The sequence below is a fragment of the Homo sapiens genome, chromosome 3 (assembly GCF_000001405.40).
Source record: "Homo sapiens chromosome 3, GRCh38.p14 Primary Assembly".
NCBI lineage: Eukaryota > Metazoa > Chordata > Mammalia > Primates > Hominidae > Homo > Homo sapiens.
This window is the reverse complement of record NC_000003.12, coordinates 151,292,677-151,317,591: the sequence shown is the minus strand read 5'-3', so window position 1 is coordinate 151,317,591 and position 24,915 is coordinate 151,292,677. Positions and strand designations below refer to the sequence as shown.

Below are 24,915 nucleotides of genomic sequence, written 5' to 3'. Positions count from 1 at the left end.
GTAATCCTACCTACTCAGGAGGCTGAGGCAGGAGAATCACTTGAATCCGGGAGGTGGAGGTTGCAGCAAGCTGAGATCATGCCACTGCATACCAGCCCGGGCAACAGTGTGAGACTCCGTCTCACAAAAAAAAAAAAAAAAAAAAAAAAAAAAAAGTGATATGATTATATAAATTTGTCATTGTTGGATGCTTTTTTAAAGCAATAAAATAAATTGTTTTATGTTAAAGGTCAGCATTCAAAGGAGTCAGTGAACCCAGCCCCTGAATAATTTAACATATTTTGAATACTTATCATTGTGTATGTGTAAAAATATGTCTATTGTGTATGTGTAAAAATATGTCTACAGATTTCATTAGTTTCATAAGACTACAAGTTTCCAAAGTTATCAATTACAACAATACTCTTTAAATAATATGTAGAATAATATTTTCAAAGAATTCATCTGTCATAAAGCATATTCTTATTTCTTTTAATCCAAAATTTAATTGGCAGGAAGGCTGCAAATACATGTTTTCTAGATAGCAATAGGAGGCTGGAAAAAAAAAATGACCTAAAAATTGGATCTGATGAGTTAGTAGGCCCCAACCCGAGACTTCATCCCCCACTCCTTAAGCAGACTTCTGGCAGTCTAAGCTCCAGCCCTCTGTGTTTCCTTCAGGTGAATCACCATCTGATTCCTGCAGGTTCAGGAAATACTCTTCCCCAGTCGACAAATCTCACCTACTCTTAGTTATGAGTCATTTACATTAGCAAGAGAGCAAGTTGTTCCAGTAGTCGCCTGGCAGGAGAATTTGAAAGGGTGCCCCAAAGGACAATCTCTAAAGGGGTAAGGGAGATACCTACCTTGTCTGGTAGGGGAGATGTTTCGTTTTCATGCTTTACCAGAAAATCCACTTCCCTGCCGACCTTAGTTTCAAAGCTTATTCTTAATTAGAGACAAGAAACCTGTTTCAACTTGAAGACACCGTATGAGGTGAATGGACAGCCAGCCACCACAATGAAAGGTAAACGAAAAATTTTTCATTTTCTTAAAAGCCGTGGTTGATAAGACACAGCAATGATTAAAAACTGTAATTATACTTCTGCTTAACTCTGAGGTTTGAAGAAAAACTAGAAATTAGAATGCTGACAGTAAGATATGAGGCACCACTGTGAGCCATGAAGCTTCAACTGTTTCCAGCTCAGGCAGGCAGAAATATAAACTACATATTGTGCCTTCAAAAGTAGAAACAATGTTTTGGCAATCACTCCTATTTAGTACATTTTTTTTTAAACCACATTTACTTTATTAGATGAGTAAAAGTCAAAGTCTCTTATAATTGTTTCCCAGGACCCAAAACTTAAAATTTGTTTCATAATCGTTTATCCGTATTGTTTTTTTTTAAAGAGAGAGACAAAGATTTTTCTCTTTCCCAACTGTCTCATTTTGATAAAATAATCTCAGTCTTTTCATTGTACCACAAAGAACAGGGCAATCCTCATTCTGATCCCTGGAGAAGTCATGTTAAAACATGTCAGGAAAGGCACTGAGAAAACTGCCCAGTGACTGACAAACAGGTTAGGAACAGCTTACTGTTGTTCCACATTCAAACTGTTTGGGAAGTTTTCACTGCAATGAGGAAAACAAGAAGCAAGCATGGAGATCTCAGTTCTTTTAAATTTTAATAAGGACTTTTAAAAGATAGATGAGCCTAAAGTAGAGTGACTTTTTGATTTCTTATTTTAAGATTTATCTGCTATGGAATTTTACATCACATTCTCAAGTTGAATCTGCTTTTATTTTAGGTATATTAACATTTTTAACAAGAGATTTCTTTCATAATTGTTCTCCAATTTACTAGCAATATGAACAGCAACAAATCTGGTTCTATATTACTTTATACTGGGGGGAAAAAAGCCAGACACCCTGTTGATATTTATTATTTCTGCCAATTGAGATTAACTGTCTCCATGAAGTTAGGGATCAAAGAGGCATATTCTCTTAATCCTTCAGCAACATCTCATCCTCAGACTCTTGTTTCTGACCTCTACTTGAAATGTGTTGCAGGTATACATGGGTTAAGGACAAGGGCCTAGAAGAGCAGATGGATGGCTGAATTTCATATTTAAGGATACAGCCTATAAAAAGAAAGTATCCCGCCAGAAAATCTTTATTTCATGAAGACACTGAGAAAATGCCCTAACCAGAGATAACATGCTAAGAGGATTTACTGCATTCAGAGATGTGGGTGGGAAAAGGAAGACTAAGTTAAAAGGAATGTTCTTATTTAGAGTTGTGCTGTTTGTGCTCTTCAGAGTCTGCCTGCTTTTCTTCCTTAATATCTTGGCATTTAACTCTCTTTAAGAACCACAACAACAAAATATTTCACGCTTAGCTCTTTACTCTGAGAAAATACCAAGGAAAGTTAAGATAGAGGAGACCACAATGGCCATTAGTTCCTTGTATGCTCCTGAAATAAGAAAAGCCTGGAAAATCCATGAAAATCCCTCAAAGCCCAATAAAGGGTAAGGTTGTGAAGACAGGACAGAAGTGAGGTGAAATCTACGTAAAGTCACCTCCCTAGAAGCATCCCCCAGTCTCCAGGGTAGATGTTCTCTATGCAGGCAAGAGGCAGTAGTTTGGGTTTAAAGTAGAAAGCCCAGGACTCACAGCAAAATGACCTGGGTTTAAGGGCTGATTGTACCAAATATTATCAGTGTGACTTAGGCAAGTCTCTGAATTCCCCAGGAGCTCACTTCCCTTCCTCACAGGTAAAATGAAGGGATTAGATCAGAGGGTCATTAGAGGCCCCTTGCATCTCTAGATTCCCACGATCCAGGTGATATGCTGAGACGCTGGGGTTGGTAATGAAAGAACCCAAGGCTTGGACCAAGCACACAGGAATGCTTGAGAGGAAATGGGGTAGAGCCACAAATGAGGACCTTCCCAATTCTGCCCCTAGCCAGCTACGTGATGTTAATCAAATCTCGACTTCGCTAGGTCTCAGATTCTTCCTCTACAAGATGAAGATGAATGTACTATTTGCTCTTCCTACCTGGCTGAAAGTTTTGCATTAATACAAGTATTAATACAAGTGCCAGCTGCAGTTCTTATACTTGTAACTATCTAAAGCAGGGAGGCAAGAGCAGAAGCAAATGCAAGGTGACCCTGCTGTTAAAAACTAGATGAGATGCACCCACCTCTCAGACCTTCTGCTTCAGGCCAATGGTGAAAGACAGGTTCTTTCTGACCTTACAAATATTACGAAATCCTCTCCCTCCTTATATGGCAAACACAGGCAGAATAGAATATTTGTTCTCTATCTTGTACCTAATTAACATATTTTGTTTCATTAATATTATTATTGGCCAAACATTTAAAAAATTACACTAAAATACATTTAAGCGAGAGCACTGATTAAGTTCCATTTAGTGTAAGCCATGACATTAAGTCATTTATATCAATGATTCTATAGTTTCTCTTAAACAGTAATTTCTAATGATTTCCATCATTTTAAAAGAAGAGCAAAGCTCCTTAAATGACCTTTTCTAATGTACTAGATAGGATCCGTATGGCACAAACTGTCCTTCTATCCTTAATACTAAAACAACAATAATTAGCATATACATCTAGCTTGATATGTGACAAGATTACTGCATATTTTATCATGCAATTTTTTTTTTTTTTGAGACGGAGTCTCGCTCTGTCACCAGGTTGGAGTGCAGTCGCGTGATCTTTGCTCACTGCAACCTCTGCCTCCTGCGTTCAAGCGATTCTCCTGCCTCAGCCTCCCAAGTGGCTGGGATTATAGGCGCCCACCACCATGTAACCTCTGCCTCCTGGGTTCAAGCAATTCTCCTGCCTCAGACTCCTAAGTGGCTGGGATTATAGGCGCCCACGACCATGCCCAGCTAATTTTTGTATTTTTAGTAGAGACGGGGTTTCACCATGTTGGCCAGGATGGTCTCAATCTCTTGACCCGGTGATCCACCCATCTCGGCCTCCCAAAGTGCTGGGATTACAGGTGTGAGCCACCGCACCTGGCCTTATCATGCATTTTTTTTTTTAACTCAGACAACCTTAAGGTATAAATTACTATTATCCACTTTTACAGCTGAGCAAACTGAGGCTTAACAAGCATAACAGTAGGGAGCACAGCTCTGACCTTGAACCACTGCCCACAGTCAACCACGCTGTATTTGCTGTTACCTCTTTTTGTGGGTAGTTTCATATGTAAAATGATATAGACTTATTGTATATTTACCATATACTAGTACCATAGTATAGACTACAGTAGATAAATGGCCAACTTGGGTGCATGATCCCCTGCAATCAAGTTGGAGCTATTTTAACTTGGTAGTTTTCCCAAAGGAGGCATCAGGTGCTAATCAGCACATGAATACCAAACTTCTGTGCAGGCAGTAGCAGAGCGGTAGTTAGGAGCACAGCACTGAGATGGGCTTACGTTCTGTTCAAATCCAGGCTCTGCCCCTCATTAGTGGTGTTAATGAGGGCAAGCTCTAGCACTCCAGCGACAGCACATATCTGCTCAAAGAACAAATAACATGTGCAAATAGCCCAAGTATATTGTATTCCAAGTATTCTCTCTAAGCCTCAGGTTTTTTCATCTGAAAAACTAGAGTACTAATTCTTACTACCCACTCAAGTAGCATGTCAATACTGAGTTATTACTACATGTCAAGTTTGAATAAAAGGTCTATGCTATGGTAATACTTCATTCAAAACAATCTTATGAGGGCTGTTTTACAGAAGAAGGCGGCACAGAGGGGTTGGGTAACCTGCCCAAGTAAGTGGCAAACCTGTAATGTGAATCCAAAGTCCTTTTAATAAATTAAAATATACATAGGTAATTTAGAACACTTCTAGGCACACAATAATACTAGCCAGCATTTGGGGAGCTCTTTTACTGTTGTTGTATGTAGCAAGATAGACACTTAGACTTCTCAAGCTCCCAGAAAGGGTTTTGCCCTGTAGCCTGAACAGGCTCTCAGGTCAAAGATATTACTGTCTCTTGACCACCAGAGAAACTCTCTGGAGGACATATAACAAAGTGAAACTTTGTTTTCCAAGTCCTTGAGTCTAGAGGGTACCCTTTACTGACTATATCAAGATTCGGAATGCCTCCAAAGCAAAGGCCAGTATACCAAAAGGGCAGCAGAAACAAAATGATCTGAAGTCCCTGTACTAAAGGAGCTTATGATCTAGTTAAGAAAGAAAAAAGTTAACAGAATACTTGGACTGTTTGCACATACTAGAGTATGAAGCTCTGTGGCTCTCAGGCTGAGAACTAAAAAGAGAGATCCAAGAAAACAATGCATAAATATCTGTTGCCTCTAGACTGTAGGCATTTGAGGATTTGCTATACTCTTTTCGGGGTGGATGACCTACCTGTCCCCCATCTTGTTCCTCCTCAGACCTGCTAGGCCCCAAAATTACAAATAAAACTGAAAATAAATCACTGGGCCTTTCAAAACTTTTTTAGATAAACCGGCTCCAAGACAAATTGGGAAAAACTGCAAAATCAATTGTTTTTGTGTTGTTGTTTTTGAGACGGAGTCTCGCTTTGTCACCCAGGCTGGAGTGCAACAGCGTGATCTTGGCTCACTGCAACCTCTGCAACCTCCGCAACCTCCGCCTCCCAGGTTCGAACAATTCTCCTGCCTCAGCTCCTGAGTAGCTGGAAATACAAGTGCCTGCCACCACACCCGGCTAATTTTTGTATTTTTAGTAGAGACAGGGTTTCACCATGTTGGTCAGGCTGGTCTTGAACTCCCGACCTCGTGGTCTGCCCACCTCAGCCTCCCAAAGTGCTGGGATTACAGGCATGAGCCACCACGCCTGGCCTAAAATTAACTGTTTACTAGATATATTTATATAGAAAACAGTGCTACATATCATGATGAAGTAGAATGTGGCTCAAAGTAATATGCAATCCTTAAATAATCGCAGCTACAATTGTATTCTAGTTGTCACACCTAAGCATTTTAAAAACCTAAAAAATGAAAACTTTTAGAGGATAATGGCTTGCATTAGGTCAAAACGGTACATGCCTATATTATATATAGCAAAACAAATTAATAGAAGAATAGTAAATGCCATTTAAAAGGTAATTACTACATCAATGTGTCAGCATATACCATGATGGCTGCTGGAAAAATAAAACTATAGTATCTGCTAAACATCAATATTCCCTTTACCCTAAAACATTCATTCTAATTTCATAATGTAAACAACAACACTAAATATATATATATACACACACACACAGTTTATATATATATATATAATTTTAAAAACTATTCATTCTGTGCCTAGAGCCAACAGTACAATACCTCAAGTATTATCTCTACTTTTCATCCTAAGACCCAGAAATGCTAAAATGTACTCAATCCTTCACAGAGTCATGCTGGATCTTACCATGGTCTGTTTATATCCAGTTTACAGTCTATATGAAATTGCAAATAAGACAGGCACTAAACAACTGGCCAGTGCGGAACTCAGTTTGAGTGCTCAAAGTTGCAGGCACCTGAAATATAAATGTCATGGTACACTACTTCTTGCTCTGATGGCTTCCCCATCCTGGAAGATGCTCTCAGCAAAATAACTGTCTCACAGCCAGGGTGGCAAAGCCAAACAACTCTACCCTTAAAGTTTTTCCCCACCCCAGCTCCTATCTAGAGATGGTACATTTCCCATACTGCCTCCCTTTCCTCTTCTGTCAATTACAACCTGATTAACTTCAAGCCAACTAAGCTCTCCTTCCAATGTACTCATATAATTATTTATTTATAATCTTTCTGGTTCCAACAACAACAAAAATAAGGTGTTTTATGGAGATGCTTAATATGAAATTAATTCAAATGAACTTAAATTTAAACAAATGAAGCCTGGGAAAAAGAATGGTGGGAAATTAAAAACCATATGAGAAATTAGTTCACCAAATGCATTCATCCCTATCAGATGGTGTTGGGCCTTAAGGTGGATCTCAACTCCAACAGGAAAACAAGAAGGCATAATGATTTGGTGTTGATAAATTCATAGCTGGCCTACAGAACACCATTCTTATTATGTAGAGTAGAAATAACTTTCTCCCATGAGTCTTAACATAAAGAACCAATGTTGTATTGAACACCCAAAGAGTAGGCACAGTGAAAAGGGCTGAATGCTTGAAGACACCAACTCAAAGCTTAATCCAGGCAAAGCCATTTTACAGAGGCAGGATAAGACAACATAATGGGGTCCAGGCATGTGGCTCACTTTAAATATTTTCATCTTACTGCTGTTTCTTCATAATTGTTCTATGGAAACCTTTCTGCCTCCTTCTCCCCAGTGTACTTTATTCTAATTATGAAAATTTCATAAGTGTTAGACATACTAGCTGTCTTTTATTAGCATACTGGTACTGTTGTTTCTTCTTATACCTGGCTGACTTTCCTCACTGACATAACCTGTGGGGCTGCTGCTGGCATTTGAATTTGCAGCCCTCCACTTTAGCTCCCCCAACTTTACAGTGAGCTATTCAGAAATGTCAGCAGGCCCAGCGTTTGATTAGCCTCCTAATGGTTTGATCAGGCCTTCTTCCTGGTCTTCAGCCATGCCTTACACAGGTCAATGGCCAATTCCTACTCTTGTCTCCACCCCTCCCTGGGTTGTACCATTTCACTTCAGAAGGCAGAAAAAAAAATTGTTAAAAATAAAAAACAAAAAACTGACATATGCCTTCCAAAATGAAATTAAGTCAGAGAGGAGGCCAAATTCCATGACTGCCTAATAGTAAGTCAAAGGTGTTTTTGAACTCTGACTCTGTGCCCGCAGGTACTCTGCTAGACCCTGGAGATAAAAGGATGCAAGGACACTCTGGTAGTCAGGCAAACAACAAAAATAGAATACAACAGCTGGAGGTATGGGAAACCACAGGGGCTGAGGAGCACTTATGTGGCACATGGGGATAACATGGAAAGCTCTGAGAAGAGGAGGCAGATGAGTTACACCTGAAGGCGGTATAGGGAGCTTGCCTAATAGATAAGAGGCAGAAGGGATTTTCAGGATAAAATGCAAGGTAAGGAGGGTCTGGTGCAGGAACTATAAAGTGGGCAGGTATACAGGTCAGGTCAGGAGGTCCTCATCACCTGCAGAGGAGCCTGAGTTGTATCCCATATAAGACAGTAAGCCAGTGAAGACTGTGACAGAAGAGGACATCAAGAAAAGAAATGTGAATAGCAGGAAAATGCATGTGGCAAATATTAAGATAATACAAATATACAGGTTACTATTTCTCCTAGTTGAGGAAGTTACTACATCTATAAATCAAGCCAGAGAAAAATATTTTAATTCAAATATTCCTATTAGTTTAAGAGACATTGTTTAAAACATGATTAATGCCAGAAGTTGATAAATTCACTGAAGTATGAATTACTTTGAAGAAACGTTGTGTGTGTGTGTGTGTGCGTGTGTGTGTGTGTGTGTGTGCGTGTATTTCATGAAATGAGTTATATGTGATCCCAGATCCTTTTACTACATATGGGTGAGGGTGGGTTATTTATTTGTATTCATGAGAAGAGAAAAATGAGAGTGAACGTTTGATGCTGATTAAGAAAGGTGAAATATCCACTCATATTAAAGACTTCACTTGAGAATTTTAAAATTGTCAGTGAAGACAAGTGATGAAATTGAAGTAAAAATGCTCTCTTAGGTAATTGTCTTACTCCATTAACTTAAACAGCATTAAGGTTTGGTTAAGCTGTGATTACAAGAATAAGGGTAGCTAACCTGACAACAGTTCTAATGGAAAGGTCTGGAGAATACTTGCACCATATCCCACAGCCCAGAAAACTATAATGATGACTGTATTAAAATATCAAGGTGACGCCACCACCACCACCATGAAGAATAATTATAACTCTTAAGTAGAATGCTTAAGCCACAGGATGCTATTCCAAAACAAGGAACAGCATCTACATGAACTTGTGAAAAGCATTCTGCATCTTTTAATAGCCTAGTAAACAGTAATCAAACAACTAAAGACTTTACCTGGAGTCTTGAATTCTAAGAATATCTTTAAGGGCCAGAAGTCACTTGAAATGTATTTAGTTTAGAACATATTCATTTAAAACCACTATGTTGGCTACTGGGACTGTGGCCCCTAAACTGACTAGCCTCTTACATAAATGATCCAGAAGTTACCTATATGGAATTTATACTTTGCTTAAACAGAAAATAAAAATACATGTTTCACCTCAGTAAGTTGTAAAATTTGAGTAAAATTCTTATTACTCACAACTACATAGTAATGTGATACAGATCTCCTGATCTGACTCACAATAGCCATAGTAATGTGAGTAGTAGGAATTTTACTCAAATTTTACAACTTACTGAGTTAAAAAGTGTATTTTTATTTTCTGTTTAAGAAAAGCATATTTCTTAAATATGCTTTTTAAGAAATATGTTTAAGCAAAGTATACTTGCCATGAATTACACCTTTACATTACTATAGCACTTACAATATAAAATTGACTTAACATATGTTTTCTTACCACATTCACACAGCACCCTTGGGAAGTACGTCAGGTATTTATTATTCTCCCTGTTTCATAGATGAGGAGGCTCAAGCTCTGTGAGGTACAATGCTTAACAGGGTCACAGACTGAGCCAAAAACTTAACAGCTGCCTACTGAATCCAGGTCTAGGATACTTTGCACTGGTCAGGGAATCTCAGTCTAGAACACTTTCTACCAGGGAAGCTACTTCTGACACTCCACTAGGCCAGCAAAGCAACACCACAGAGGCAGCCTGTTCTGGGGTCTTAAAAGCTAGAGCTCATTTCCTGGTTTTGCCTCTCACCATCTGTGTGGTATTGGGCAGGTTGTTGAATCCTGCTCAGTTCCCTCACTTGTCAAAAAGAATAGTCAGGTTTGAGGTTAAGGTTATAAAGAACCATTAGACACAAATCTTGTCTTCAGGGAGTTTACAATCCACTTTACATCAACCCCCCATCTGCTCTAAACACACACACACACACACACACACACACACACACACACACACACACACACACAGAGCAAGTTACCTGAGGTCACCTAAAAAAAATTTAACTCTAAATTGTTAACCAAAATAGGTCTATTTGTAAGCTACATGTACCAGCAAAACTATGAGAACAGAACATCAGTGTAGCACCTGAAAAACCTGAATGAAGGGCTGCTGTGCTTTGCATTCCAACACATTTAGGAGACTAACTCCATGCATGCATTAATGAAATGTGCTATGAATACAGTGACCTAATTCCATTACAATAAGAGGTAACTCATAACCAGTGAGGTAATCTGCCTCTTTCCCCAGGCCTTCAGCAGAGCTATAATCTTAGCATTGTTGAAAAACACACATAAATTTACAAATACACATACACATAAAGTCAGGCTTAAACTGAGAAAGATTCTTAGATTATAGGTGATTCCAAAATAGAAGAGATCCTGTATCTTTCAAATAAACTTTCTATCAGATGGCTTTTGTGAAGACTATCTCTTTACCACAAAAATGCAGGAACTACATCAATATCTCTATATAATCAATCAGTTCAGTATAGCTTTTCAGAACTAAAGTGGCAAAATAAACCTTCAGATCTCAAATTCTTACAATTTCAGATGTGAGCTTTTAGAGGGAAAACTGGAGAGTGGAGGACAGATAGCAAAGATATTGATATTATAACTCTGTCATTTGAGAACCACCACTACCAAACACTAAGTCAAAAATTAATCATGAGCAACTGCATTTAGGGAGCCAGCATTTAACTGGCACTGATATTTCAAGATCCTGACCAGAGGGCAATAACAAGAGAGATGAAGCCCAGGGAGAGTTAAAGCATTGCCATGGCAGGGCAGGGCACACCGGCCTGCTCTTCCTGCTGACAGAGTTTCCCCCGGCGTGGTACAAATGACTCCCCACCCATGCCAAGATCCAATCCAGTGAACTGCAACAGCAGGCTGGCTCTGTGTGGACCACAAGGCTGGGTGTCCAAAGTAGCTGTTCAGTAGTCCTGGATGTTGTCCTCCCATAGCCCTTCTGGGGAGAGAGCAAATGTTTGGGCATCCAACACAACTGGGGTCAAGTCCCTATTCCACTACTCAGAAGCTTTTCGTAACACCAGAAACCTCAGTTTTTCCCCACCGAAAGCAGTTTTATAACACAATCAGTAGGGTTTTCACTTAAAGGCCCCAGTAGAGGGGCAGGCACAGAGAAAAGCTCCACTGTGACTATTAACACATTCTCAGGTGTGAACTAATCAACATGACCTCCTGTCACTACTTTTTTCTGGGTTGCTAAGAGGTATAAGAAAAACCATTTGAAAAGAAATGGTTAAGTGATGGTCAGTAATACAAGAAAAATCAGGCGTTTGCAGGGAGGAGAGACACAGAAGAAGGGAAAGATACATTTATAATCAAAGTAGAACAATTGGGGATCTATAGAGGTTAAGTATAGCCACATAAGATTAAATGATAAGCGGAATAATCATTGCCAAATCAACTGACTGTAGGACCCGGCAGGTAATGCTCCTGAAAGAGGTGGCCCAGGGATGTCAACGCGTATGCTGTGAGCCAGAGAACTGGAGAGAGCTCACTTCCCCATCAGGAAGAGGCAACTAATAGTGCTGGATTGTTCATGCTGGATGCTAGCAAATCTTCTCATCTTTCAAAATGGGTTCCAAATCTGGATTCTTATGTGAAATTTCCTGATGTTTTCAACATTGTTCAGGCCAAATAAAACTAGACCTCTAGTTTGGAAGATTAGCAGTTCCTTCACAAGCTTGATGGAGAAAACAGACTCCTACCTCTGCCCAATACTGCCCCCCTCCCACTTCCTGTCCTCTAAAATAACCCCCCAGAATCATTCTTCACTTTTACTCCACAACAGTATAATAGAACTGCAATTTCAGTTTCTATTGTATTTGATATGAATCCCAGCTCTACCCATTACTCACAGTGTGAGTCAGGGCAACTTAATTAAACTGTCTGAATCTCGTATCTTCCTACCTGGCGGGGGTGGAAATATATCTAGGTCCTAGGGTAGCTCTGAAGATTGCTTAAGGTATCAACCACCAAGTTCGGGGTCCAAAAGCAAGGAGAAACTGAGAATGTGTTAATCCTTTTCCACCAACCTCATTTTACAACCAACAACAAAGAAACATGGTTAGTAAAATAGCCAAAGGAAAATACCAATGGGTGGCTGGAAAAAAAACAGGTCTCTAAGCAGCGATACCATCTAACCTCAGGAATGACTGTGAAACCTAGGCCTACCACAAACATCACATTCTTGTGTGGTTTCATCAGCTCTCAGCTGAAGGAACAGTAGGTGGCAGGGCAGGATTCCCGCCCGGGATCCAGGTCCTGGAACCAAGCCCTTTACTACCACTGAAGCAATCTTCCTTGCAACACCCTGCAAGTGCTGGGACATGCAGACAATGCAGAGCCACTGTAGTAAAAGCACACAGGGAGCGCTGAAGCTGAGGCACTGATCATTCAGAAAGACAGCAGGCAGGTAAGGCTCTGAGACAATTTAAAGGAAGGGCAAGCTATTGGAGCAAAAGTATCAGTCAAATGACTCCTGAGAGGGCAGCTGAGGCCACCAGCCACACAGCCATCTCAGCATAAACAAGGTGCAAGGATCCACCCCCCTCAACCCCCTTGTCCAGCCTATGAAGTGCTAAATAAATTCAACTGTGTACCTATGATATACAGCAGGAACTAAAACGACTTCAGCTCCACCCTGCGCAAGTACACAGGCTGCTTTGTAAACGTTCATCATTTTAACCTCGCAGTCAACCTATAATGGATGAGTCTTCATACCCATTTTATACAGGCAGAAATGGAGGGTTAGAAGCTAAAACCAACAGAGCTGGGGCTGTAATTCAGAGAATGAGAGAATCAAATCCTTGCTCTATACACTCCACCACGGTGCCACCATACTTGGCTAGAGGTCAAGGCAGGATTTTTTTTTTTTTTAATCCAAGCTGGAAAAAAAATTTTTTTTTGAGACAGTCTCACTCTGTCGCCCAGGCTGGAGTGCAATGGCATGACCTCGGCTCACTGCAAGGTCTCCCGGGTTCAAGCGATTCTCCTGCCTCAGCCTCCCGAATAGCTGGGACCACAGGTGCACGCTGCCATGCCCAGCTAATTTTTGTATTTTTAGTAGAGACAGGGTTTCACCATGTTGGCCACGCTGGTCTCGAACTCCTGACCTCAGGTGATCCACCAGCCTCGGCCACCCAGTGCTGGGATTACAGGCATGAGCCACCGTGCCTGGCCAGAACATTTTTAAATGCCAGACATTGAATGATATGCTTAAGAAAACCCTCCATTAATCCTTTATCTATCTCCACCTCCCACCTTCTCTGTCTCCTTTCTGTCACAGGCATGTTCTTTTTTTGAAAGAGTTTTCTGAGATTGCTGCCTCCACTTCCTCACCTTACAATCATTACTCAACCCTCTGTCATTAGGCTTCTCTCCCCAAAACACCCTGGGCCCCCCAGCACGTGGAGCACTGGCAAAGATGAACAATGACCTTTTTGTTGCTGAATCCCATCCAGTGGCACTTTGCTGTCCTATGTCACTTGACTTCCCCCACAGGATAAAACTAGTCACAATTCCTCATTTCCTAAACTCTCTTTTTGGTTCACATGACATTATTATTATTATTTGGTAATCCTCCCAACTCTCTGGCCTCTCCTTCAGGCACTCCCCTCACCCTAAGACTGCTCCATTAAAAAGTCTACATTAGCTCTCTGCTATTCTCACTCCACTGTGTGGTTTTGGGTTTTTTGTTTGTTTGTTTGTTTTGAGACGGAGTCTCACCCTGTCATCCAGGCTGCAGTGCAGTGGCGTGATCTCAGCTCACTGCAACTTCCGCCTCCTGGGTTCAAGCAATTCTCCTACCTCAGCCTCCCCAGTAGCTGGGATTACAGGTGCACGCAACATCATCTGGCTAATTGTTGTATTTTTAGTAGAGATGGGGTTTCACCATGTTGGCCAGGCTTGTCTCAAACTCCTGACCTCAGGTAATCTACCCACCATGGCCTCCCAAAGTGCTGGGATTACAGGCGTGAGCCACCATGCATGGCCGACTGTGCAGTTTCATCTTGAACAATCTCATTCATTCCCACAGCTTCTTCTATCACCTATTTTCTATTGGCCTTAGATAGACATCACCAGCCAGGAGTACTTCTCCAAGCTCCAGACCTTTCTCTTTAATCATCTAGTAGACACCTCCACATGCATACTACACAGGCATCATGAAATCAACCAATCCAAAACTAAACTCCACTCTTCCCAGTACGTGTTTGTCCTTTCATGGGTCCTACATCAGCGAAAGAGACTAAAATCTATAGTCAAATACCTGGGAGGCCTCCAACAATCTTCTAACCCTTTTCACCAGCATCATTCAGCCACAGATTCTTTAAGATGCCTCATATTTTGTCATATATCTCCATCTCTACATGCTGTCACCAGTTCCTCAGTAGACTATTATACCTTATCTTTGGCTACACTCAGCATTTCCATGTGCTCCTTTCTGATTGGACCTTGGGCAAACCTGCCACAACCTGGGCATCATAGTTGTCATGGAACCTCTGTAATCCTTGCTTCCCCTCAGTTCGGGTACACCTCTGTATCTTCACAGCATCCCAAACCTCTCATTCGATATTGAAATGGTCTATTTCTGGATTCTCAACTAGACTCTAAACTTGAGGACAGAAATGTACCTTTCTCTTCTTTATAAACTCCAGGGCCTGAAATATGAGCAGACTCTTAGTAAACGACCTTATGAAAGAGATCAGGTTATGGCTGGTACTGAAGAAGTAGCAGAGATTCCCAAGGTAGGGAGAGAGGGGAGAAAGGAGGCCATTCACAGGGCAGGAATGGGTATGAAGAAAAGTAGGGAATTAAACTCAGGCATATGGCTGACAGTCTGCAGTTTGGTTAAACCAGAGAGTTCCAATAAGAGTAACAAGATCTTGACTTTAATTTAGGCAAAGATTAATGGAAATAACAGAAGCAGAAACTGGCATTTATAAAGCACTTAATTTATAAATGTATATTCAATTTAGCCTCATGAAGGAGGGATGCTAGATACTATAAAGTAGGTATTATTGTTCCCATGATTCAAAAGATTATGGGGCAAGCAGATTTCCCAAAAGTCTATTGTGATCTCTTAGTTACCAGAATTTAGCATGTTCTGACTTTCACATTCCGTGATCTTTAACACTACAAGAATAACTCCTTATCTTTAGTTAGCAATTATAATTCAAGAATTGCCTTACCATACAGTAACACAGGATTAAGGAGCAAAACAATAATATCTTTAATGCCCTCCACTCCTGCCCCCAACCCCAGCAGACACTAATCGACTTTCTGCCTCTACAGATTTGCCTTTCCTGGACATTTCACCTAAACACATGTAGTCTTTAGGTATCTGGCTTCTTTCTCATGCAAAACGTTTTCACGGTTCATCTATACAATAGCTGTATTTCACTTATTTTTATTGAGTAATATTCCATCCTTTGCCTATACCACAGTTGACTCATCTACTCTCCAGTCAGCACTTGGCTTCTTTCTGCTTTTAACTATCATGAATAATGCTGTTATAAACAACTGCATACAAGTCATTGCATGGACATAAGTTTTCATTTCTTGTGGCTAGATACCTAGAGGTGGAACTACTGGGTCATATGATACATTTGATTTTAACTTTTTAAGAAACTGCCAAACTCTTTCCAGAGTGGCTGTACCGTAATTTTAAATTCTTATCATCAGTGTATAAGGGGTCCTGTTTTCACCACCCTCAGCAACACTTGTTACTGTCTGTCTTTTTCAGATACAGCCATTCTGGTAGATGCAAGATGGTATAGCACTGTGGTTCTCATTTGAATTTCCCTACTGACTGATGATGTTCAGTGTCTTTCCCTGTGCTCTTGGTGAAATGTCTAGACAAATCTTTTGACCTTTTTTAAATTGGGTTCTGTTCTCCTTATTAAGAAGCTGTAAAAGTTCTTTGCATAGTCTAAATAGAAATCCTTTATGAGAAATATAACATGCAAATATTTTCTCCCAGTCTTCTCTCTCTATGTCCTGCTTATTGGCCAACTGTCTGCTCTCTCTCTCTTACTGCAACTGTCAGTGAGGAAGGTTACAGGAAGCCATCTGAAGAGGACAACCATACAACTTGAGAACAGAGAAACATAAAACTAAAAATGTGTCTATCAGGCAATTTCCTTGAAATGTTTCCATGAGAAACTGGATTCAAGCTTTTTAGGCTTACTGAAATCCAAAGATCATTATTATAAAGTCTAGAAAATTAACTGCGTCAGTCATTCTCCCCAGTAAACTTTAATAAATAAAAAGAAAGTAGAGTTTTACCTCTTTGCCTTACATTAAAAAATAATGTGATGCTGGCACCCAAAAAGGAGGGATTCTGAGAGCCTTAATCATTGCCTATGCTGCATTAACCAAAAAAACACTTTCTGACTTCTGCTGTGTACCACATACCGGAGCTGTTCAAGGTGACGTATGGATAGACTGTCTAAACTCTCAAAAGAGTGGATTCTGGGTGGAGAGCATCACTGAAAAATTAAAAACCATTTTTTCCATCTACTACCAAATCAAGTACCTTAGCTACATGTGATATTTGCAAACAGAAGAGAAGGACACACACAGGAACATAAAAAGAAATAATAACTGCCTCTCCACTTACTGCAAACTCTTACACATACTCCTGCCTCCCACATGCCCTTTCCCTGCTATCTCAGCACATATGCAGGGACAAAAGTAACTGCTCACACCAGCCTCAAGTTTGCTTTGTGATTGGACAGAATGAGGTTACCTGGGGTCTCTTTAAGCAACATCAGTGATGGGACCTGAAAGTCTCACATGGTTTTATTTCATGAGAAAGAGTGTGACTTCCCCTAATGGTAAACTGTCCTATAAGCATATTTTACTTTAGCTGCACTTTCCAGAACAGTTCCCAGGAATTCTGCTTTCTATGGTCAATACGTGATAGAATCCAGAGAACAGGGAACAGACCCAGCTGCAGGGGAAGGGGTGGGGGAAATCATGTTTGATAATATCCAACATTGCACATACATATGGTCTCAGCTAACCTTTATTAAGATGTTGTGAAGAATGCAAAGCTCAGAAATGTTAAGGTATGTAGCCAAAGTCACCCACAAGACATAACTCCCAGCAGGGAATTATGAAAGAGGGCAACTCTGTGTGGCCCAGGTGTTCATCTCCAAAGAGCACATGCTTTCTGAATCGTGGAGGCAATTGCTTTAACTGAAAAGACCAAAATGTTGTATTTTAAAATTCCTTCCCAGATGATTTTTTCCTCATTTTTCATTTTCTCCCCAGAAATCAAACCAGGAATAACCTATGCTGAACCCACGCCTCAATCGTCCCCAAGTGTTTCCTGACACGCATCTTTGCTTACAGTGCATCACAACTGAAGAATGGGGTTCAACTTGACGCTTGCAAAATTACCAAGTAAGCCGTCGTAAGAGATACAAAGAAAATCTTACTTTATTGATGACTATTATTTCCACTGTTTGGGAATTTGGGGAGTTTAATGGTCAGAGAACCAACTAACAAAATAAACCAGCATTTAGCTTTGTGTTTCCTTATGTATAAAACAGCAAACATGCAGGACAGTATCGCTGAGATAAATTTAGCTTGCTATCATTTTGTTTTAAACTTTGTTTCATCTAGACATCATCTCTAAAATGACAAGTAGGATTAAATTAATAATATTTATGGAAGATTTTAAACACAAACTAAAATTACGTATTACTTTCCAGATTTAATAGTCTAAACCAAGGTTCATGAGGTTCCCCAAGAGGCCAGAGATAACATCTACCTAATCTACTGGGTAACTATTTGGAAAATGATCATACCTAAATACAAAAAATTAGCCAGGTGTGGTGGCGCACGTCTGTAGTCCCTGCTACTCAGGAGGCCGAGGCACTGGAATCGCTTGAACCCAGCAGACAGAGGTTGCAGTGAGCTGAGATCGCACCACTGTACTCCAGCCTGGGTGACAGAGCAAGACTCTGTATCAGAAAAAAAAGGAAGAAAGGAAGAGAGGGAGAGAGAGAGGAAATAGAAAAGAAAAGAAAAGAGAGGAGAGGAGGGGGAGGGGAGGGGAGGGGAGGGGAAAAGAAAAGAAAAGAAAAGAAAAGAAAAGAAAAGAAAAGAAAGAAGGAAGGAAGGAAAGAAAGAAGGAAAGAAAGAAAGACCGACCTAGGCAGCTGTGCCCTGGTAGTGACACCCTATAATTTGAATGACTTTTATTATTTCATTCCCACCTGGCAGGTAGAGCAGTGACATATGTTGAGACTTTCACATTTTGTGCCAAGTGTCACGTCCCAGTGAACAATGATGTAGCTTCACCAAAGGCAAAAGTGGCAGATTCTTCCCTACTCTGTCATTCATAATGTGACTCTATTAACAAGAGAAATGGTAATTAAGCTTTATGTTATAGAATGCATACCTACTAAGTACTAGATACTGTAGTCAAAATGTTTGCAAAGCATTTAACTCTCAGAAGATCCAGCAAGACAGCTATGTATTCCATTTTACAGTTATTAAGAGGCTAAACCAGCATTGTCAAATAGAACTTTCTGCATTGATGAAAATTCCCTGTATCTGCACTGGCCAATACAGTAGCCAGATGTGGTTACCGGGAAACTTGAACGTAGCTAGTATGACTGAGGAAATTAATTTTTTAAATTATGTTTAATTTAAATTTAAAAGTTTAAAGCCACATGTGGTTTGTGCTATATCTGGCTACAAAGCCCAAGCATTCCCCAACACACACACTCAGTCCTGTACACACACATGCACAAACCTATTCCCCCCGGCAAAGACAGCCAAAGTTCCCTTACGTCCCAAACAAATACCACCCTCACACATGGCACAAAATAATTTACTATGGAACTAGTAAACTGAGTTATGTCACTGCATTTGTTAATTTAAAAGGAATTGGAATGAGAGTCAGAGAGAATACCAAAGTAGGTTTTACTCTCAATTATCGCTCTGTGTCAAGCCCTGCACTATACAATCCAGAGAATACCACCCTAGTAAACAAGAAGAAGGGATGGGGAAATCATGTTTGATAATATCCAACATTGCATGCACATATTGCGAGAAAACAGCCTTTACACTGTAAAACAGCTTCTAATTTTTCTTAACTGAATGACCAAGCTACTGTCAATTAAAGATGTTTCCTAACTTGGCCAAGTTCTTTACTGTCAGGGAAGAACAACATGATAAAACTGCCTGGGTGAAGAAAGCCATTCACTTTTACTGGTCAATATTCCTGAGTGGAAATATCATATAGAGAAATGCTTCTGAGTACACCTATACGTTTTGGAAATATTTAAGGCAATGATAGAGAATAAATGATGGGCATTAGCTGGCAAAAAAGAATGTGATATAAACTTAATTCTAAAAAACAAATTAATCACACGAAACTCTCAAAGTTAAGTTTTGAGCCTTCCAGAGCAACCAGATGAGTAATGGCTCATCTGCTTCTTACAAACCATTTTTTGTCTCTACTACCATATTGTTTCAGCAAATAACCCATAACAGGCTTTAACCACTAATTTGTTTAAGCTTTGCTGCCTAAATGTGAAATTTGTGAATGAAGTAATAACCAGGAGAGTAATAATATATATATATGTATATATGTATACACACACACACAACCTTTTTTGACATTCTGATTGGAGACTATCTTTAATAATAACCATAATTGTTAGGCAAAATCATCATCAATATCATCATTTAATAAGAATGTGTTCATATAATTAAACTTTAAAATATTATAATGATATATGGAACTCATATCCCTAAGCAACACTGTGAAGTAGGGGTTCTTGCACTCCACGATAGGTATGCATAGCAGATCCCCAGGGAGCCAACACAAGCAGTTGAAATATTCCCTGCCAAGTATGCTGTAGCTCATGAACTAATATATTTGTATTTAAAATGATTTTGAAAAGCAATTCATAAGTAATTGTTACAAGGCACAGCCAGCACCTCAAGAGATGACATGGCTGCTCCTTTTCAGGCTGTGTCCCTCAGCTGGACCCTTTATTCCGATTTAAACTCACATGTCCTCTCTCTATTTCCCTAAGAGTTCTATCCCAGGTTAGATGAAAGTGACTGCTAATCATTTAATTGGGTAAATTAATTCAAGCAGACATCTTAACTCAGTTAAAGCCACACATCTTAAGAAGTTCCTAACGTCACTGATACTGATTTGGATCTTATGATGCAAAAACAGCCAAGACTACAACACGTCATTAAATCAAAATAGGCTTGAATGATACTGTACAAGGAAATATTACAAACTGGCAGCAGTGATATAGATGGCTGCTGAATCAGGCATTTTAACTTGTAAAGCTTAGTAATACTATGGGTCTCATAACAGGCTAGTCCAGATATAAATTACTAGCCTGTGTAAGGATAGTTAGGTCAGGGAAACCAGTTTTTAAAAACACTCATGGTAAGGAATAAAAGGGAAAGAATTAGGAAGAGCCTGCACTTAGATGTCAAGCAGCAATTTAGGAATCTGTTTTTGGATTTTAATCATCAAAACTTTCCTGTTTCTCTCCTCAAAGAAGGGAACCAAAACAGACACTAAACTGCCTGTGTGCAGGGCAGTGAGGGCTTAAATTCATGGTGTTATCTCTATAACAAAACCATTCCAAAACATAATTATAACTATAGTAAATATTATTAATTACAGGGAAGTAAAAATTGAGAAATGATCTTCCTTCTAACCTTACCTCCAAAAGGTGAATCTATAAATTAATTCCATTAGTTCAGGTTCCCCAAAAATAATGATGATAAAATGTGCTTAAATGGCCAAGAGATTTACTGGGGAAAATGGCTACCAGGGAAAATGGGGACAAGCAGAAGGCTGGCACAGCCTTCCAACCACTTGTGGGAGAAAGAAGGAAGGAAGATTGAGTAGGAACAGTGCAGTTTGAAGAAAGTTCAAAGAAAAGGTTTGAAGACTGGTAAGTACTCCTCCAGCCAAAGTCCTTTGTCAGAGAAACCCCTCCTCTTACAAAAACAGGTTTGTCTTGGTGTCCCTGCCATGCTCAATCACAGGCCTGGAGCAGTCCGCGGGAAGCGTGGCAGCAGCAAGAATGTGGTGGTGGATCCACAGCAGGAGCTACCTGTCCATCATGCTCCCCACAGTAGGAGACATGAGAGGCCCATGTCCATGGCTGCCACATAAGTCAAATGCTCATGACCCATTTCACTGATTATATGATGCAGTGATATGGTACAGGTCTTTAACAACAGAAACTAAAAATTCCAAAGAAGCAAAAGGTTTAAAAATTCCCACAATAAATACAATAGGCGTAACCTAGCCTTGTAAACAAAAAAAATATACCAGGTTGCAATTACTTTTAACAAGTTGTCCTCTTTGGTAATAAACTGTAAATCTGCAAAACTTAATAAGAATGAGAAAACAAAATCAGCATTTATCATTAGACTATACAAAAACACATTTGTGGATACTCCTGACTATACAAATGCATTTTAATGAAGAATTTACTAGATGACATGTAAATATTTATAATAATCAGCAGTAACTTCACACCAGCCTGCAACTTAAATTCTACTAAGGTGAAAACAGATTTCAGAGAATCAGCAAGTCAGATCTGTATGTATCCAGGACTTTTTTTGTCTGTTCACTTTAGAAGACAGTAGATTTTCTTTTTATTTACAAAAAATGCCAAGACATTTTCTTTCTATTCCTATCAATGATCCCTAAAATATCTTAAGTACTATAAGAAAGTCACAGGCAAAAAATTCAAAATGACCCACTAGTTTTACAGCTTCTTAATTCTTAATGATTAAACAGCTTAAAACTGAGGCAAGGGAAGGGAAGATATATTCAAAGAGGGTGCCAAAGACTACACTGAAACAATAACCATGTGTTGGCTATTGTATTTTCTTGTTATAGAAAATTTCAATTTTCTGTCCACATTTTGTTGATTCTATTTGTAATGATATCAAACATGGGAGTAAGAATCGGAATAATTTACACTGGTATGTTTATTTTCAAAAGGCTGGCAAAGGGGATCAGAAATGGGACTTTTTACTCAAGGGTCCTGATATGAGGGAGGCAGGGTAGTGAGAGAAGGTCACTAATTCTTTGGCCACTCAAAACATTAACAATGTGCTACCTTGACTCTGTAAATCATTGATGACATCTTTAAGTTCACCTGAAATAACAAAAAGTTGGGTCTGTAAGGGAACCTAGTAGCCTGTGGGCATGCTTGCCAAGCACTGAAGTCCTATCTCCCCACTTCTCCTACAGATAACGAGCTGCACGGCCAAGAGAGTCACAATTCAGGCAACAGGAGCGACGGGCCAGGAAAGAACACCACCCTTCACAATGAATTTGACACAATTGTCTTGCCGGTGCTTTATCTCATTATATTTGTGGCAAGCATCTTGCTGAATGGTTTAGCAGTGTGGATCTTCTTCCACATTAGGAATAAAACCAGCTTCATATTCTATCTCAAAAACATAGTGGTTGCAGACCTCATAATGACGCTGACATTTCCATTTCGAATAGTCCATGATGCAGGATTTGGACCTTGGTACTTCAAGTTTATTCTCTGCAGATACACTTCAGTTTTGTTTTATGCAAACATGTATACTTCCATCGTGTTCCTTGGGCTGATAAGCATTGATCGCTATCTGAAGGTGGTCAAGCCATTTGGGGACTCTCGGATGTACAGCATAACCTTCACGAAGGTTTTATCTGTTTGTGTTTGGGTGATCATGGCTGTTTTGTCTTTGCCAAACATCATCCTAACAAATGGTCAGCCAACAGAGGACAATATCCATGACTGCTCAAAACTTAAAAGTCCTTTGGGGGTCAAATGGCATACGGCAGTCACCTATGTGAACAGCTGCTTGTTTGTGGCCGTGCTGGTGATTCTGATCGGATGTTACATAGCCATATCCAGGTACATCCACAAATCCAGCAGGCAATTCATAAGTCAGTCAAGCCGAAAGCGAAAACATAACCAGAGCATCAGGGTTGTTGTGGCTGTGTTTTTTACCTGCTTTCTACCATATCACTTGTGCAGAATTCCTTTTACTTTTAGTCACTTAGACAGGCTTTTAGATGAATCTGCACAAAAAATCCTATATTACTGCAAAGAAATTACACTTTTCTTGTCTGCGTGTAATGTTTGCCTGGATCCAATAATTTACTTTTTCATGTGTAGGTCATTTTCAAGAAGGCTGTTCAAAAAATCAAATATCAGAACCAGGAGTGAAAGCATCAGATCACTGCAAAGTGTGAGAAGATCGGAAGTTCGCATATATTATGATTACACTGATGTGTAGGCCTTTTATTGTTTGTTGGAATCGATATGTACAAAGTGTAAATAAATGTTTCTTTTCATTATCCTTGCTTGAGCCCATCAAAAATATGAATTCAAAGAACTAAAATGATATGAAATGGGGTCATAATTTGAAAGTAAGGAAAACATTAAAGCATAGCAAAGAGATAAACAAGAGGTAGCGTATGGGTGAATGGCAGGGTTAATGGCTGGAAGTCTGAGGAGCAGAGTGAAAGGGCAGAATGAGCCACAGCAATGTCCCTGCACTGTGGCCATCCTCCAGGAAAAGCTGCTGCTCTGAAGCCACTTTTGCAGAGAACAAAAAGTATAGAAAAGAGAATTATATCTATCCTTGAAGTTGAAGGATAGGAAAAGAAACTACTACTTTCCATCTATAAACTAAGATCTTTGGCAGTCATCCCCTCATTCTCTGTGTGGGGATTTTTTAAAATTATTTTTTCCTTTACTCAACACTATAGAAATGAAGGTAGAGGGTGTGTGTGTGTGTGTGTGTGTGTGTGTGTGTGTGTGTGTAAGGGCTTCATTTTAGGACCGTGTGTGTGTGTGTGTGTGTGTGTGTGTGTGTGTGTGTGTGTAAGGGCTTCATTTTAGGACCCTCTGTGTCCAGGTCAGAGCCCACCTTCAGGGCTCCAAAAGCAAGTAGGAATGAGCTGTGGAAATGCTTCTGCCTCCTCTCTGTGCTTCATGCCTCACCCCCACTCCTGTGATGCTCCTGTGATACTACCTTTCATTCCTCTGGGTAAGAGATTGCCCTCCAGCATCGTAAATGCCTCGTGGGAGACGCATTAACAGAGGAGGAGTGAAGGCGTGTTTGCTGACTAAAAGAAGACGTTATGGTTAACAGTCAAACACACGTGAATAACACAGTACAATACTTCATTTAGAGTCTTGTAAACTGCAAAGTTCTAAGAAGCTCAAATGAGCAAAAATGAGAGCACAAGAATAACTTAGCTCAACAATGACTATCATTGTTAGGTAGAGGAAAAGAATTCAGGGACTACAAAGAATCTTACTCTAAGTGTCTAGTGTCTTACTCTATCTAAGTCAGTCAGGTTTAGCAGAGAGGTTAATGGCAAAGGGGTTAAAAGGATTATCTGAGGACTTCTATCAAAATATCTGTCCATCAAGATTCCAATTCTATAAATGCAATGGACACTGAAGTGCATGAATTTATATATACCTCAGTTGGTCATTTGCATAGCTATCACCGCCCCCAATTGTGTGTCACTGGCTAGATTAAGATAGTCATATTTTAGATCAGCTAATTAAGAAAAGGCAATTTGAAAGGCCAATTCTTTTCTCCACTTTCCCCAGAAAGTCACAGGTAAATTACAGCTTCCGTATATATATAGAGGAGGAGCAGACCAGCCTGACCAACATGGAGAAACCCCGTCTCTACTAAAAATACAAAATCAGCCGGGCGTGGTGGCGCATGCCTGTAATCCCATCTACTCGGAAGGCTGAGGCAGGAGAAT

At 39.9% G+C, this 24,915-nt stretch overlaps 2 protein-coding genes across 25 annotated transcripts in view, besides 1 other annotated feature; one reads left to right on the top strand and one right to left on the bottom strand.

Annotated features, from left to right (window-relative positions):
• Nucleotides 1–24,915, bottom strand: part of MED12L (mediator complex subunit 12L) — a 350,990-nt gene that overhangs the window by 119,062 nt on the left and 207,013 nt on the right. The window lies entirely within an intron of this gene.
• Nucleotides 187–1,386: an enhancer, noted in NCBI's record as "MED14-independent group 3 enhancer chr3:151033994-151035193 (GRCh37/hg19 assembly coordinates)". NCBI's record gives its function as "activates an origin of replication core promoter dependent on BRD2, BRD4, P300/CBP and CDK7 cofactors, and independent of MED14, by STARR-seq in HCT116 cells {active_cell/tissue: HCT116}" and the evidence as "EXISTENCE:reporter gene assay evidence [ECO:0000049][PMID:35650434]".
• On the top strand, nucleotides 772–23,506 carry GPR87 (G protein-coupled receptor 87). Its single transcript, NM_023915.4, has 3 exons — nucleotides 772–1,006; nucleotides 17,394–17,525; nucleotides 22,381–23,506. Exons 2-3 carry the CDS (start codon nucleotides 17,492–17,494, stop codon nucleotides 23,421–23,423), a joined length of 1,077 nt encoding a protein of 358 aa, NP_076404.3. The 5' UTR covers nucleotides 772–1,006; nucleotides 17,394–17,491; the 3' UTR covers nucleotides 23,424–23,506.